The following is an 18,593-nucleotide window of genomic DNA, read 5'->3' on the forward strand; positions in this document are numbered from 1 at the left end:
GACTTCATTTTTAGAACAGTTTTATATTTCTATAAAACCTGAGCAGACAATACAATCTGTTTCCCTTTACATTTCTCCTGTTAGCATCTATTCATATGGTATATTTGTTACAATTGATGAACAAATATTGGCACATTATTATTAACTGTACTCCTTAGTTTACATTAGGAATTATTGTTTGCCTTATACAATTTTATATGTTTTGCCAATGCAGAATGTCATGTGTCCACCATTACGGTATCGTATCGAATACTTTCACTGCTCTAAAAATCCTTTGTGTTCTCAAGCGAGTCCATATTCATCTTCTAGCAATTCCTAAAATACCGTTTGCATTTCTACCTGTTTCTGGCTCTAGAAGCTTCTGGGTCCCATTAAGCTGTGATTCTTTGAAACAATGATTTCTGCAAATTTCAAGATAATAGTTTGCCCTTGACCTCAATTCTCTATCTGATTTAAGAAGAGTTGTTGATTTTCAGTTTGTTCAGCTTTTGTCTTGTTATGAAGACAGAAGTAATGATACCAAGCTCTTTACATGTCAGAGTGGAAACTGGAAATTTCAAAGAGTTTTTGAGAAAGTGTATAAGGAATTAGCACTTAATGCAATGTGTCTACGTGGGCACAAACTTTAGAGAATTTTGTTAAGTAGGAGTACCTTGCTGTGCATGCCAGATTGCCCCTTCCTGGGATATGGAATATTGAATAGAAATTCTAGGATTCTTGTTGGTAACATGTAAATTGAGGGAAAATAATTCAATATATGAATACTCTGTGGTTTATAGTAGCCTCTGTCTATAAAAAGAATATTGGGAAAGTAGAATATCACAAGAGGAATGTGGGTGACATGTTGATGTTCCTGAAAGGCATATTACTTTATAAAGTCGAACAAACAAACAAAAACTTTTTTTTAACATAGAGGAAATAAATCTTTCAGGTCTTTTGAGGGATTCTCATGTGTGAGATATAATAAGCCTATCACCTATTGCTAGAGGGCACAGCTTGGAAAATCTTAGGGAAGCTGAGGAAGCATTCAGCACCATCAGAGCTAGAGTCATTTCCACCCAAAGATCTGAGTTTCTGTCCCAATGATGGTCAAGATTTGAACAGGTAATGGATTTCACATTGGCTGTACAGTTATGCTAGCATTTTTGTTAACTCCTGATTCTGTAATCTTAAGGATGCACCAAGATTGGAGTCCTTTTTGCTCCTAGCCATCAAGGATTGATTAAGTAGGAGCTGCAACCCTTTGACCTTAAGTTTTAAGTGAAAACAAAGGACGCACAACTTACATCCAGCATCTAATTACTTACTTTCAAATGTGAGATCTTATTTGCTTCTTACATAAATTAATATTTTGTTATTATGGTCTCTCAATTTAAAGGGAGGCTTAGCAAGGGTGTGTTACTTGTTTCAAGTCTCATATCTAGCAAATAAAACCCCTGAGTAGTCTAATTTCCAAGCCCATTCATTTATAAATCATAGACTATTATTCTTTTTCCCTTCTGGTGGCTTTTTTTTTTTTTTTTGAGACAGGGCCTTTCTCTGTCACCCAGGCTGGAGTGTAATGATGTAGTCACAGCTCACTGCAGTGTCGACTTCCCAGGTTCAAACAATTCTCTCACCTCAGCCTCCCAAGTAGCTGGGATTACAGGTGTGCACCACAACTCTTGGCTAATTTTTTATTTTTTTTTAGAGACTGCATCTCACCATGTTGCTCAGGCTGTTCTCGAACTCCTGGGCTCAAGCAATCCTCCTACCTCAGCCTCTCAAAGTGTTGGGATTATAGATGTGAGCCACTGTACCCGGCCCTGGTTGCATTCTTCATTATTAGGAACATAAGGTAACTCTTGTCTCCTATGGTTCTGATCTAATCTTATAAAACTGACTTTTCCAAGATACAAAGAAATGTGACCAGCCATTTTTAGAGAAATAACAAAGTTACATTCAGAAGACTACTTGCCTTTCTGAACTCAACTTTGAAATCATTTTCTTTATTTTACTTTCGAATTGATATCCCTAGAGCTTAGTTTGGCACTTCTAGAAGGTCAGTTAAATTATTGTTCCTCTTTCAAATTATAACATTTTTAGCCTATTTTTTGTGATTTTTAAAAATTTTTTTTGCTTAAATTCACGAGTGCAGTCTCTACACCCTATGTCAGTGATTATGCCTGCTTTGTGGTGAGTACCTGTTGACATATTTGCATATTGAAGACAGTAGTCACAAGGAATAGTTAGGCTCTAAATTGAAGTTTTGTCCACCAGTTATCCTCATCAAACTTCAGAAGGAATTTGCATTCAGATTTCTAACACATGCCCTAGTGCTGGTTTAATTCATACTTCCCTTGCCAACACCAACTACATTTTAAAATACAGTGAGACATCAATGCACAGTGACTAAGGACACAAAATCTACAGCTAGATTGTCTGGGTTCAAATCCTGACTTTATGTTTTTAAACCTCCACATTTTGGTCATCTCATCTGCCAAATACACTTTGTACTTCGGAAAGTACAAAGAGGGATAATACCTCCCTCAAAAACAAAATAAATGAAGACACAACAGTGAAGTCCTTGCACTTGGTAATAATCCAATAAATACTACGATAATGTCTTTTTTATTATTATTCAAAATGAGACATGATTGCATATCCCAAACTGTGTTTTCAAAAGGTTTTTTTTTTCTTCTTCTTTTCATGGTGCTCTCATTTCCTTTCTTCTTCTTTTCTTTTTTTTCTTTTTTGGCAGAGTCTCACTCTGTCACCCAGGCTAGAGTGCATCGGTGCGATCTCGGCTTACTGCAAACTCCACCTCCTGGGCTCCCGGGTTCAAGTGATTCTCCTGCCTCAGCCTCCTGAGTAGCTGGGATTACAGGCGTGAGCCACCATGCCTGGCTAATTTTTGTATTTTTAGTAGAGGGGTTTCACCATGTTAGCCAGGCTGGTCTCAAACTCCTGACCTCAGGTGATCTACCTGCCTCGGCCTCCCAAAGTGCTGGGATTACAGGCATGAGCCACCGTGCCTGGATTCCTTCCTTCCTTCCTCCCTCCCTCCCTCCCTCCCTCCCTTCCTTCCTTCCTTCATTTTTTTCCTTCTCAATGATTGAGTTTTGAGTGAATCCACTGTTGAGGCAAGCTCACATGTAACTCTCCATAACTTCTGACCTAGCAGTCCAGCTGCTATTCTTTATTTTTGTGAAGTGTGGAAGCATTTCAGGGGAAATATAGAATGTTTTTTCATTTACCATGTGCTGAAGAATGAGGCTCACCTCAATAGAACAGATATGAGCTATTCCCAGTTGCTACGCCATGGCAACATGAATCTATTAAAAAGGCAGCTATATTGGGATCAGAGGAGTCCCAAGATAAAACATGATCTTTGCATCGGCATTTGTTTTCTAATTAGGATTGCTCAGTGGTAATGTTTATCCAATAATTTAGTTAAATTTCATTTCTAAAGTATAAATATCCTCTGAAGGCACATAGGTGAAGGTAAATCAATAACTGCATTATTGTAAATTACCTCATAATTATATATTGATAAACAGAATAAGGTCTTATAATATCAATTTTCCATATCACTTCATACCTCACCACAACTTACTGGCAAATTGCATTCTTACAGGTTTTTTTTTAAACAAAGCTTTGTTTTATGTAAAACACAGTTCATCATTTTAAAGCAACATGGTTTCAGCATAGTATTTCTTCTCTTGTTTAAATTTTTTGTGACTGGAAACTCAGGATACCTGACTCAGAAACTACTTTTTAAAAATTTCTCAGGGACTTTTATATAAAATAATTTTTTGTTTGTTTGTTTGTTTTGACAGAGTCTAGCCCTGTCGCCCAGGCTGGAGTGCCATGGTTTGAACTCTACTCACCGCAACCTCCACCTCCCAGGTTCAAATGATTCTCCTGCCTCAGCCTCCTGAATATCTGGGATTACAGGTGCCTGCCACTACACTCAGCTAATTTTTGTATTTTTAGTAGAGACAGGGTTTCACCATGGTGGCCAGGCTGGTCTTGAACTCCTGACCTTGTGATCTGCCCATCTCGTGCTGGTATTACAGGCGTGAGCCACTGCGCCCAGCCTAAAATAATTTTCAGTGAGTTATAAGAAAACAGCTGCATTCTGTTCTGTTTTTAGGCCTGGCCAGAGAATACCAGGAGACTGTAAGATGTCATGGTACATCAAGTCAGTCTCAAGTGTCCTATAACCCTGGCTTGCCATCAGCTTAGAATGTTCTCTTTTTCTACTGACCTGCCTTCCATCTGTGGTCTCTTCCTTCCGTCTGCTATTTATCATGTACTTATTGATGTGTGTCCCAGAATGTTCAGAATCATCTGATTTAAAAGATTCTGTCCCATTTTCAGTAAAAGTAGCCCAATATTTTGTTGAGAAAACACAGTGACTGTGCATATACCTACCTACTCATTAAGGTATCACTTGTTGGTCACCTAGAGTATAAATTCATGGCGTGGATATGACCTTGGTATGAGCCTGTTCTATACTGATTTTGTCCCTCATTGGGGAAAGACACTAGGAGGATGTGTGTATAGTGAATAGAGGTACAGATTGGGCACAGGCAGACTCTTTCTTGAATCTATTTCATCAATTAGTGGATTTTTTTTCTCCTAGCCAAGTTATTTAGCCTCTTCCTATATGAAATACTCCTTCTTTTCATCTGTTTTTGTTTTTAAATGAGATGACAATTCATGACTAGTCTTGGTCCCCTTAACACTTAGTGAGTGCTCAACAAATGGTAGGAATTATTATGGATAACAATAATTAGTGTAAGTTCAATATGTAAATAAAACTGCCTTTTGTTCACTATCACATCGCTTGTCTCATCGGGTCTCATCATGAAATATTGGTCATCATTACTATGAGATCCATCTATGGTTAATATTACTAGTGTGACCCTAAAATAGGATTCATCAACTAGGTATGATCATCCGTCTATTCTTTCCTTAAATACATTGAGCAAAATCTTCAGGGGCAGCTGTATTTTTTAACTGCACATGCTACAGGGATTCTGAAGTGAAACATGGTGAAGAACCACCCAATCAGACATTTGAATGGGGACTGACAGTCTTAAGTCTAAAGAAATTTCCTCTTCCTTCATAGTAATTAGCAAGAAACTTCTACAAAAGTTACAATGCCAATTACTGGAAACGCGCATATCAGGAGTTCCATGGAGGACCATTTCCAAGCAGTAGACATCATGCATCAATCTGCTTTTTGAAATCCAGACTGATTTTCCAAATCATTTTTAAATAAGAGGCCTCAAGCCGTATGTAAGAAACAAGAAAATTTGTGCCTTAAGAGCAACTATCAACTTAAATCAAAGAGGGGTAAGAGGTAAGCTCAGGGGATAGAGAAGATTAACCTAACAACAAATAGCCTTTGCTTACTTCTGAGATACCTAGCAAATGCTGCCTTTTTGAATTTTGTGCAATTAGTTTAGTACTTCAATTACCTAGATATTTTTAAGTTAAACAAGCTCTTGAGTGATTTTTTCATCAATTTACATTGAGTTATAACAAATGTAGGAATATTTGTATTTAAAATGCACAAGAAAATGCAAAACATATCTCTAATTTGACCACTAAAAGGCCAGTTTCTGATGATAACTTTTTGCCATATCTTATTAACTGTAATGTATCTTTAAGGATGACACATGGAATAGTTCCAATGTATAACAGAAAGGAAATCTGATATTATACTTAAGTGCATTCTGTACTCTGTGGGGAAAGATGCAGAATATATTACAAAGAACAATGAAGACATGTTTCAAAAGTAAGCATTAATTTATTCATTCATTCATTTATTCCCTCACACTCTTATTCAACAAACATTTATTGAAAATCCTCCCATGCGCAAGGTGGGTGTTCTATCTAAATTCTATGAAGAACAAGACAGACAAGGTCCGTCTTCTCACAGAGCTTACATTTTAGTGAGGTAAAGTTGTCAATAAGTATGCAAATTAAAAAAATGACAGGCTCAACTAATGCCTCCAAAAGCAACTATTTTTAAAGCAAAATCTGATTGTGTTCAAGTCTAGCAAAGAGTCACAAAAATATATTTTTAGAAATGAAGATTGTTGACATGGTAAGGTTATTCATTCTTTCTATTTTTATAAATAAATCAATTAACCCTATTTTATTTTAAAAAGTCATGCAAGGTCAAAAACGTTGGGATGATTGGTATTAAACTCTGGTGGAAGAAGCTCCCTGAATGCCTCCCTGACATCAGTCATACAGGTCAGGAAGCAAACACCTTTCCTCTTGTTTCCTAACTGCCCTTTTTACCCATTTCATAGCACACACTTACTCCGGTCACCAAACTGGTTACCATCCTCCTGTGTTCTGTTTTTGTAAGAGGGCATTTATTTGGCCCTAGTTACCCAAGAAAAGGCAATTAGTCTTGACAACTGCTGCAAAGAGAAAAGACGAGATGATGGAAACATTCAACACTTAAAAATCCTTAGATTTCAAGCATTGGGGTTTCTGCCCCTATAGATTTCTGGGAGTTTGGGACAATTAAAATATATCTTTTATTTTTTTAAAAAAATATATATAAATGAATGCTAAAACAACTCTTAAAAGGAAATTGCTTTATATAGTCTGGCTATGATCAGCAAAACTGGTATTCATATTTACATTTGTTTATTATATCAGTGAGGTTTGAGAATCATTTAAAAGAATTGTGTTCTAATTCAACCTAAATTCCCTTCCTGTTAATCTGAGCCAAATGTCCCAAACACAGACATGGCAGTTTTTAAATCTCTGAAAACTATTTAAAAACTAATATTAAAAATATAGTTTTAAAATATATTGCATATACCTGTATACTTAGGTATGAAGAAATTTCCTCTTCCTTCATGGTAATTAGCAAGAAACTTCTATAAAAGTTACAATGCCAATTATTAGAAACATGCATATCAGGTGTCCCACGTAGGACTATTTCCAAGCAGTAGAGATTATGCATCAATCTGCTTTTTGAAATCCAGACTGATTTTCCAAAACACTTTTAAATAAGAGGCCTCAAGCCATATATAAGAAACAAGAAAAGTTGTGTATATTTGTATACAGGTATATACGAGTGCCCGTATATGCAAGCTGAGGTGGAGAAATTGAAGACACAGATTATGTAAGCCATTAACTCTTTAGGGGAGCAAGCTCTGATGTTCCCACTTGAAGACGGGAGAGGGGAGTCCTCTCATGCTTGCGTCTCACTGTAACTTTTATGCTTTTGTCTGTGGGTGTGTTTGTTCAGTGCTTAGACTGAACAACAGTGACCTCTTTGAAACAAGAGGATATACAGTTCACGTGCCACATAATGACTTTCAGTCAATGACAGACTGCATATATAAAAAGCACATTCTAATAGGACCTTTGATAATCGTTTTGTCTTCTTGACTATCATCTTCTCTAGGAGAAAGTCTTCCCTGATACTCTGCCCCCTGCCTCCACACATACACATACACAAACACTCAGATATATCTCTACCACACATACTCCTGGCTAGGCTAAGTGCACCCTTTTCTTTTTCTTTTTCTTTTTCTTTTTCTTTTTCTGAGACAAGGCCTTGCTCTGTTGCCTAGTCTGGAGTGAAGTGGCCTGATCATAGCTTACTGCAGCCTCCAACTTCTGGGCTCAGGCGATCCTCCCACCTCAATTTCCCAAGTAATTGGGACTACAGGCATGCACAAACATGGCTGGCTAATTATTTTTATTATTATTATAAGTAGAGATGGGGTCTCACTATGGTGCCCAGGTCGATCTCAAAGTCCTGGGCTCAAGCAACCCTCATGCCTTGGCCTCTCAAAGTGCTAGGATTACAGGCATGAGCTATCATGTCCAGCCTAGCTACCCCTTTTCTATACTTTCCTAGCATCATGTGTGGGTCTTTCTCATACTATCTACAGCACACTGTGATTGTGTATTTACCCATATTTCTCCCAAATGACTATAAACACCTCAAGGGAAAGGATTATAGCTTATTCATATTTGAATCCTTAGTATTTATGACAATGCTTGGCTCATAATAAGCTCTCAAGAGATATTCATTCCATTGAATTGAAATGACTTCCACTTGGGTTTCACAGTAGAATACTCATTACTCATCAGACTTACTCAGGGGACAAGTCTCTGGCCTCATTTTCATTTGCATCTTGGCCATGATTTTGCCTACTGTCAATCACCATGAAGTACAGAAAAGCAAACTGAGCTATGGTGAGCCAAATTAACTGGACCTAAGATGACCTCATCAGCAAAGCGCCCTAAGCAATCAAGCAATCGGGTCAGCTAGTTGCAGCCTATAGTTATCGTGGAAAACTGGTTGCTACTTTGATCTCAGCTCACCTTGCCAAATACTCCTTTTGTTTGAAAGATAGTCATAACAAGTACAAAACAACACTGAGTGAATATTTTTAATATTATAAGCACCTAGATAAATTTAATTTCTATTTCCATTAATGATCTGAATAACCTAAATTCTTCTAATACCTATATTTGTCCAATTTTAAGGTATTCTGACTTAGGCAGAAATTGGGCAATTATCTGATTAATTCAGGCCAATATTTTTAACACTGGATTTCTGCATCACAAGAATTGTTAATTTATTCTTATATCCTCATTCCTGGTACACAATGGGTGCTCAGAAGTAGCTAGGATTTACTGAGAGCTTACTATATGCTAAACTGTACAACAATGTGTTATCTTACATTAAGTCTCACAAAAATTAAAACTCTCAAAAAACTTCGCACTAATTGTTTGAGATAGATGAGATTACAATCTGAGTCTTAAGAAGGTTAAGTAACCCACCCAAGGTCGAATTAAGAACTTGAGCTATCTTTTTAATCACTACTCTATATAGACATTTGTTGAATAAATGGTCAGATGCATTTTGATCAAGCCTATGCTTATTTGAAATATCACATGCTTTTTTGAACTTTATAGATATATATTAACCATTTGGAAAAATGTAAGAACAAAATCTCATGGAAAATGTAAATTTCAATCTTGCAAACTAAACATTCGATTTATACACTTTCAGGATTTACTCTGTTGTGTGAATATGCGTACTTTAGAATAAAACTGGTATCATACTATACAATGAATATCAAGTTTTAATTCAATAATGTTTAATGAATAATTCCCTATGTCATTAATAATCCTCTTATGAGTATTATTTTAAAAGATACATTATTTTACTTCAAGAAAATTTTATGATTTGTATAATAGAACTATAGCTTTTGGACATTTTGGCTACTTATAACTTTTAGTGCTTTGATAATATCATTACAAACATCATTACACATATATTTTATAATTTTTAAGAAACAAATATGTTCTTAAATTTGTTTTTTAAGGAAAATTATTATTGGTTGAATGATTACATCAAAGGGAAATGGATTATTTTCATATGTAATTTCATGCTACCTCCAACAAAGGTTTTATCCTGATTATATTGTAGACCTGAATTCATTTAAATTTATGCTGATTTTTTTAACTTTAGAGACATATTGCTCATATTCAAGTACATTTTAATTCATGTTATAAGTATATGACAACATAAACATGTTTTGACATCCTCTACTGAATATATTCTTTTTACACCACTAAGCATTTTTAAAATTTAGTTTTTTATAAAAAGGACAGATAGGCAGGCAGGCAGAGAGAGACAGAGACAGAGATGACAAGCATAAACAAGGAATTGTAGCTGTGGTCTAACAGATTACACATTTTTAAGCACCTAAATTTAGAAAATTAGGTGGTATACTTTATTATTGATCATTTGGGGTCAAACTAGCTAATCTGGCAACTTAATTTTCCTAGGGATTTATTTGATGTAAAAATATGGTCTGATCGTTCTTCAGTGGTTCTTTCCTTTTAGGAGTCTTGCTCATGAGAACCTGTCTTAAAACTTTTACTGCTTGAAATATGTAGAAAGTCCAAGGGTAAAGGAGAGTGGAATTTGTTGTTGTTTACTATGAAGAATTATCATTGAGTCAGTTCACCTTTGGCTGGCATCTGGGGAAAGTTTGCCTGCACGACATGATTAACAGCTAAAATATTCTTACGGCCTTTATCTCAGCAGTCTAGAAGGTTCGAATGAAAAGAACATTATCCATAGAGGAAGTAGGAGGTAAACATTCCTAACAAAAATGGACACTCAATAAATACATGTTAAATAAAAGAATAAACAAATACGTTCAAGTCGATTCTAGTTGTGCAGTGGTAACCCTTGTCGTATTGGAACAGTAATGCACATGGACCATGAGTCCTTGTATTCTTCTTGAGCCAGCTTGGTGAACTTGGTCAAACCACTGACACTCAATTGCTTCACTGGTAAAACAAAGCCAATAGCATCCGCTATACTTATCCATTAGATTTTTTATCCATTAGATTTTTTAATATATATGAATACAATTTATGAAAGTACTGTATACTATGTACTTAGTATATACTTAATTAGTATGAAAATAAAGTAAAAATACCATAGAAAATTAGAGGTTTATGAATTGCTAATACATGAGATATTTACTAGGGTGTATATTTACTATGTCTTCTAAAAGTATAAGTTTGGTAAGCAGAAATCTCTTAGGGTTTAGCATTTCTTTAACTGATAGCAAAAATTTTGAATGTTAACTATTTAAGTGTATCTACAGTGACTTTCCTTTTCTTCATGATATTGCCTTGTTTATCCCTTTGATTTATCCTCATGTCCCACTGAAGCAAGCTATGCACCTTAATGCCATCTTGTTTATGGGGACTAATAAAAGAAAATTGTCTGCAATGGGAGATCTGCTTTATTTACATGCAAATTAAAACTATATTCCTTCGGTTACAGGCCAAAGATTATTAATGCATGATGTGTAACAATTTCAGGCAAAGGTAAAAATGCTGTTCCTTCCTATAATCTAATGCAACTGATTTCATTTTTGTAAAATGGTGCAACAAATTGAGCCATGGCATTTATAGTATCTTACGTGTTTTATGCTGCTTTTTAAAATTTATATAAGAAATGGAAAAGAAAACACTAAATTGCTAGACTAGTAAAGCAATTGACTGGCTTGAAATTTCAGGAGGCAAGGAATATCTGTTTTACCATTCCATATTATGACTGGAAAAATATAATTCTTCTGCCCACTTTATTGTTTCTAGAAAAAGAGTTAGTAATATTTATCTTGAAAGAACATTCTAAGAACTAATACAATAACTTGCCAAATGGATTAAAGTTTTGGAGAAGAACGGGGATCCTGGTCATTTTCTGGAGTCAGATACAGTCAGTTTCCTTCTTTTGAAACTCACACAGGCAATCATCAGATATTAAGAAAGGGATCAAGAAATCGAGGAGGCAAAAGAACAGAAGAAGTAAATACCTATAGCTTGCCCAGAAGGTAATGAGATCTCTGAAAGAATTAGGGTTCTATGTACTTAAGCAATGAGATTAAAGAAAGCAAATTAAATGGGCCAAGAGATAAATGAAAAGTGTCTGAAGATAACTTTTTTCCAATTGCATTCTTATGATTCAAAATGGAATATGGTCCCCTTCCAGAGGAAAAGAATTGTACTTCAACTCTCTTGTAGTTTCTTTATCAGAACTCTGATTATTCCTACTTGAAGTAGAGAGCCATTTATTCCAGGGTTTTTCTGATTTTATATCTTGACCATGACACATTCTTTCCTATATCGTAGGATGTGTTTTCCCCTTCATTCTTATCTTTAAATGACAACTTGTGGCCGACTTTAGGTCCTATAGGAAAATGTAGCTTGGCTGTATTGAAACAGGAACTCCAGCAATACCATGACAGCTCAGGCGCTCCCAAGCTTTCTGATTTTATGTCTTGAAATTAAAGGGAAACTTTTTGTTACTTATGTAACAATGGATTGTGAGTGAATAGAGTGGATTCTTTCTACATGGGCAGTGTGAACAAGATTATTTAAGGTTGCATATGTAAACTGGGATAAAACTTGAAAGAACACACTCTCAGAATGAAATTTCACGATAGCCTGATATATAATAGTGTTCCCAACACTTTATCGAAGTTGAATTTTTGCTTAGAGATCAATTTATTATCTATTTATTTATTTTAAAACAGCTTCTTATGGAGCAGGGATAACTCTTAGGCAGTGCAACCGGAGTCAGCCAAGAGCTCAATTTCATGTACAGCTAATTATGTGATAATTAGAGAAAGTGAGGTACTATGATTATAAACAGAAATAATTCATGAAATTGTTTGAAATATGGGACAAACTCAGTAACACAACACTTCTTCAATTTTTCTAGCCTCTTCCCCAACCAATAACTTTTCTTAATTTTTTTGTTCTGTTTTTATATGATATAGACAGTGTTTATTCTAGTGGGCTTTTCTTTTCTGTGGCATTCTCCACAAAGAAAATTCCAGATGAGAAATTCGAATTTTTAAAAATTTCATGTTGCTGCAGGAACCAAAAACCAAACACCACATGTTCTCACTTATAAGTGGGAGCCAAATGATGAAAACATGTGGACACACGCAGGGGAACAACACACACTGGGGCCTGTCCAGGGGTGGGGGAGGGAGAGCATCAGGAAGAACAGCTAATGGATGCTGATCATTCCCATAGGATGAGGGGATGATCTGTGCAGCAAACCACCATGGCACACGTTTACCTATGTAGCAAACCTGCACGTGTACCTGAGCATGTACCCCTGAACTTAAAAAATGAGGAAAAATCAATTTCATGTTGCTTACCTCTGTATCTAAACAATAAAGAAAAATGCCTTCATAATAGTTACTTAGTATAAGTAATCAGCATCTCGCTTATAAGTATTCTGAGAATAAATATCTTGAATGAGAATACATAATATTTTCCAAGTGTTTGTCATACTTACACTGAAAGGAGTTTAATGCTGGTTTTTTGAAAGTTAATGAATCAATTATTAATTGAGGAGAATTTATTTTATAAATAGAAAAATCAATTGACAATAACTGGAAGAATCAAATGCCACAAGTTGGCCATTCAAGCAAAAAGAAATTAAGATTTATTATATATCCACTATGTGCCAGGCATTTTGCTAGGCACTTTATGATTACTTTTTTATTTAACTCCCATTGTAACTCTGTGAGTTAAGTTATTTCTCCCCCTTTCCTGCCAAGAAAAGTAAGAGTCAGTAAGATTAACTACCTTGCTCAATGCTCATATGTGACTGAGGCAGGAGTCAATACTATAGCTGACTTGAAAGCCAAAGATGATCTCTGAGAAAACTGTTGGGCACCTAGATAAAATGATGTTGAATGTAACTGCATATGAATGTTAGTTCTAACCTTCACTTTCATGTGATAGTTCTGTAGTCTTTGGTCAGAGAGAATGCAGAACTCAAAATATTATCCTGACTTAAATTATAAGTTTACTGGCCGGGCGCAGTGGCTCTCACGCCTGTAATCCCAGCACTTTGGGAGGCCGAGGCGGGTGGATCACTTGAGGTCAGGAGTTCGAGACCAGCCTGGCCAACATGGTGAAACCCCATCTCTATCAAAAATATAAAAAATTAGCCGGGTGTGGTGGTGCATGCCTGTAGTCCCAGCTACTCAGGAGGCCGAGGCAGAAGAATCACTTGAACCCAGGAGGGATAAGTAAGTTGCAGTGAGCCGAGATTGTGCCACTGCACTTCAGCTTGGGGTGACAGAGTGAGACTCCATCTCAAAAAATAAAAAAGAGTTATAAGTTTACTTATTTCTGTATATTTGGCTCAGTTGGTAATATATGAGGAAAGGACTTAACCTGTTTGGACATTGCTACTATTTGCATGGCATGGCCATTTCTTGCCCTTCTGAGTCCTCTTATTACACTGCATGACTGGAATTTTAGGTAGGGAAGAACAAAGAACCATTGTCTTCAATTGGATTAACCTTTGCACCTTTGGCACCTCAAGTTGAGCCAGAAACCACTCTGAAGATGAAGTGAGACACAAGAACTTTCCTCCAACAGGTTCAGTTAGGAAAAGATAGGTAAGCATGACAGCCAAAGTGGAAAATGTGAACAGACGCATAAGAAGTCACGTCTCACTGAATCTAAAGTTTAAGCTAGCCTATATTTCAATTGCTCCTATTTCTAGTAGGACACATAGTATCAACACAAACAGTAACTACATGTACGACTCAGATGAGCTACAATAAAGGCATTTGGTTGAATAAAATTTTGATAAGATAGTAATTAGTAATCTGTTTAATACCATACCAATAGTTGAAAAAGAACAAGATTTGCAGAACTGATAGATGCCCATTACTTTCTGGGAAAGGAAATACAATAGTAGATGCTCAAAAATGATAATAACTTTTCCAGAAACATTTAAAATGTACTGTAATTAACTCAGTAAATTAGACTCTATTATACTAGAAACTTATATTCATAAAGGAAGGGAGCATAGAGGTGACAGTAGTAACGATTAGCATTATTTTATTCTATTTTGAAGATTAGAACTTCCTGATTATTTCATATCTTGCTAAAGTGATAGAAAAGCATATATATGCATTTCTAAATAAGCAATGTAACTGATATATATAGTATTATAAAATATTATAAGTGTTATATATGTACATATGTTATATATTGTATTAGTTTGTTTTCACACTGCTATAAAGATACTTCCCATGACTGGGTAATTCATAAAGGAAAGAGGTTTAATTGACTCACAGTTCCACATGGCTGGGGACGCCTCAGGAAACTTATATTCGCGGCAGAAGGTGAAGAAGGAGCAAGCACCTTCTTCACAAGGTGGTAGGAAAGAGAGAGAGTGCAAAGGGGAAAGAGCCCCTTATAAAACCATCAGATCTTGTGAGAACTCACTCAATATCATGAGAATAGCATGGGGGGACCTGCCCCCATGATTCATTCACCTCCCACCAGGTCTCTCTCTCGACATGTGGGCACATGAGAATTATAGTTCAAGATAAGATTTGAGCACGGACACAGAGCCAAACCATATGACATATACATAATATATGTAATATATATGTAAATATATAATATGTATTATATAATTGTTATAATATATAATTAGACAATTTATATATTATATATAACGTGTTATATATAACACATGTTATATATTATATATAACACATGTTATATATTATATGTAACATATTTACATGTTATATATAATATATAACATGTAAGTATATAATATATAATATATTGTAAATATATAATATATAACGTATAATATATGTAAATTATATACAATATATGTGAATATGTATTATATATTGTATTATATATTATATATAATTATATATTATATATGTAAATATGTATTATATGCAAATATATAATATACATTGTATATGTAAATATATAGTATTATATTATGTAATATATATATATTTTTAATTTCCAACTTTTATTTTAAGCTCAGGGGCACAGGTGCAGGATGTGCAGCTTTGTTACATAGGTAAAGGTGTGCCATGGAGGTTTGCCGCACAAATCATCCCATCCCCCAGGTATTAAGCCCAGCATCCACTAGATATTCTTCCTGATCCTCTCTTTCCTCCCAGCCCCTGACCCTCTGACAGGCCCCAGTGTGCGTTGTTCCCCACCATGTGTCCATGTGTTTTCATCATTTAGCTCCCACTTTTAAATGAGAACGTGTGCTATTTGGTTTTCTGTTTCTGCATTAATTTTCTAAGGATAATGGCCTCCAGCTCCATCCATGTCCCTGCAAGGACATGATCTCATTCCTTTTTATGGCTGCATAGTATTCCATGGTGTATATTTACCACATTTTCTTGAATACTGGATATATAAATATAAATATAAATAAATGTAACCTCAGTCACACTAATGTTCTATATTTTTCTTTTTTTTTTCCCCTCTGTATCCCTGCCTCCACCACCACCCAAGTGTTGTATAAGTTTGTATCACTTGCTAATACTTGAGCTTGGTGTAGACAGTTGTCGAGGATACATAAGGGTGTGCTAGAATATAATAATGATGAGGTAGTTCATAGCAAAATATTAAAAAGCAAATGAGCAAAAAAAGTAGATATTAAGGAATACATGTCATTAATATTTATAATATATGGGTGTTCAATAAGGGTATTTTTAATTAATGTTGAATTAATTATAAGGTGAGGAAATATTTTAAATTAGTGTTTAATATACTATAGGACCCATATCTTTTGAAAAACACTCTATGTGATAATATTTATTTTATTGGGACATTTATAAATTGGTTTAATACAATGTATACTTTCCTAATTTAAACAAGAGCATAAATTCCAATTGCTTATTTATAAAAAACAATTTGGGATTTTTTTTAATAGAAATGGGAAATTATAAATGCCTTAATTCATTTTCAATTATTTCAAAGGTAAGAAGAAAAAGAATGCCAAAAATGTGGACCATTTTATTATTTAGTTAAGCATTATAGTACTGCAAATCCTTTTTCCACCATCTTTTCAAACTTTTGCCGTGACAGAATTGTTTTTGATACCCACATAGAAAAGATTAAATGAGTAGAAAAGAAGATCAATATGAAAAATTTAAAGGAACTGTCATTTTTCAGCCTAGGAAGAGAGAGAATGCCGAAAGACTTCTAATGTATGGAGTTTAAACATCAGATGGTGATTGATTGCTATTAATTTATGTCAGCAAAGGAGGAGAAGAAATACGTAAAACTGCCTCTGAAGAATTTACATTAAACACCAAAAGAATCTGACTCTGAAAATGAAGAAACAAGGAATATTGTTTGTTTTGGGAATCAAAAAAAAAAAAAACTTCCCATTTGAGTACACAATTTCCTAAACAAGATACATGATAATTCCATACACTATGCTTTCCGAAGAAACTTTGTAAAACGTATTTTCATTATTCAAAACTTGAAAACACAGAAACAATATGATGCAAAAAATTATCTTTAGCATTATTCCACTAAGATAATTCATTTTAACATCCATATATTCATTATTATGTAAAATACCTATCAGTATGTGGGTATATCTTTGTGTGTATATTTTAACAAAACAAAATTCAATAAAAATTGAAATACAGAAATGACAAAAACACACAAAAAATATAAATTATTTCCATTGTAGCATATATTACCTTTTTCACCTAACATTATACTGTAGGAATATATTCTTTCATCATTCAATGCTTTTGAAAATATAATAATATTCCATTTTAAGGACATGCTATAATTTAGTTCATTAGTTTTTAAACTTTTAGATTATCTCATTTTGTCATCATTTAAAAAAAGTGTTCCTGGATGTCCTTTTGCATAGACTTTTGAATGTATTTCTGACTATTTTCTTAACCTGTCCTGTACTTCTGCAAGTAGAACTGCTTGAGCAGAGATTAGGAGCAATTTTAAGGTTTTTCAAAAATCTTGACAAACTATTCTGCAGGAAAAATGTATCTTGTTACCATCAGCATTTTTAAGTAACTAGTGACTAATTGTAAAAATAATTGTGTTTCCTTGTATTTAAGCCTTGCGCTATAGATTTTAAAAATTTGTCCTTTTTTTTTTTTCATTTGTAAAAAAAAGCCATCTAAAAGACCTTAGAACCTGGTATCAGCTGAAGCTTACTAAACCATATCAAGAAGATCATGTCATTCTCAAGAAAAGCATGTTTCAAATAAAAAGGAAATGTCAGCCCTGAGCGTTTTTATTAACCATCTCCCCATCTGACTTCAGAGACAGCTTTAGCTGACCACTTCCTCTCTCGGGTTTATTTGTATTAGAAATAAGTGGATTCATTAACTGTGCCACTTGGTGGTCAGGCCAGGCCTGCCAGTGTCCAATAACAGGTAATGGTTGTATTTTTCACGGGGTGACTGATGTTTACTTTGTTGATGGCCCCAGGAGCTCATGTAATCTGAGATAGGTCTTTGTTTACTTCTTGTTTTACTGATATGCTGACCCATTTGAAACTAGCGAGAAAGAAAAATAAACATTCTGGAATATGGTACCTGAAGTCACTCTTCCTTAGTGGCTTTATTGTAACCTCTTCAAAGGCTTTTGTTAACCCACTCTTTTCCCAGCAAAAAACCCTGATCTGGTCTCTTTTCCAATTAAACCAAAAGCAATATCACACCAAATAAGCAAACAGAAAATATTGAAATTACCACTTAAAGAGAGTTTTATCTGGGGTTTAATTGTGTGTGTACTCAAGCGTTTAGTGTAGGTCATTTGCTAATGACATCTAGTAATTTTTAAAAACTGGATAAAACTGATACTGAGCCTGTCTACAGCAATTTAACTATTTTGGGGGAGTATAAAGTTAGATTTGTCTATACTGACTTGTTTGCTCCATTTTAAAAACTGTGTTGGAATGATTTATTATGGATGATCCAAAATAAACGTGAAGTGAGGAAACTATTTTTTAATTACCACTGGTAGCATATTTAATGGAATTGTGTTATTGTGCCAGAAACCTTATTGAGCTATATTTGTTCTATTATCTTACTCATCAGCACAGCAAAAGTTCATATTTCAAGGGTGAAGGAAGTGAGGCATAGAGAGGTTAAATAATTCCCCAAAGGCAGAGGGCCGCCAATTGGTGAATGTCAGACATAATCCCACGCCTGCCTGAGGCCGGAGTCCATATT

General features: G+C 34.8%; 1 long non-coding RNA gene across 3 annotated transcripts in view; it reads left to right on the forward strand.

The window, feature by feature from the left end:
• LOC112267952 (uncharacterized) overlaps positions 1–18,363 on the forward strand; it is a 34,285-nt gene extending 15,922 nt beyond the window's left edge. The window contains exons 2-5 of one of the 3 annotated variants that reach the window (XR_007059440.1): positions 1,691–1,837; positions 3,819–3,936; positions 5,117–11,396; positions 16,549–18,363. This is a non-coding gene — a long non-coding RNA (uncharacterized LOC112267952). Of the gene's footprint in view, positions 1–1,690; positions 1,838–3,818; positions 3,937–5,116; positions 11,850–16,548 lie in introns of those variants that run through there. The other 2 variants (XR_007059441.1, XR_007059439.1) reach the window with 2 other exon arrangements.
• The last annotated feature ends 230 nt before the right edge of the window (positions 18,364–18,593 follow it).

Source organism: Homo sapiens, chromosome 6, assembly GCF_000001405.40.
Source record: "Homo sapiens chromosome 6, GRCh38.p14 Primary Assembly".
Taxonomy (NCBI): Eukaryota; Metazoa; Chordata; class Mammalia; order Primates; family Hominidae; genus Homo; species Homo sapiens.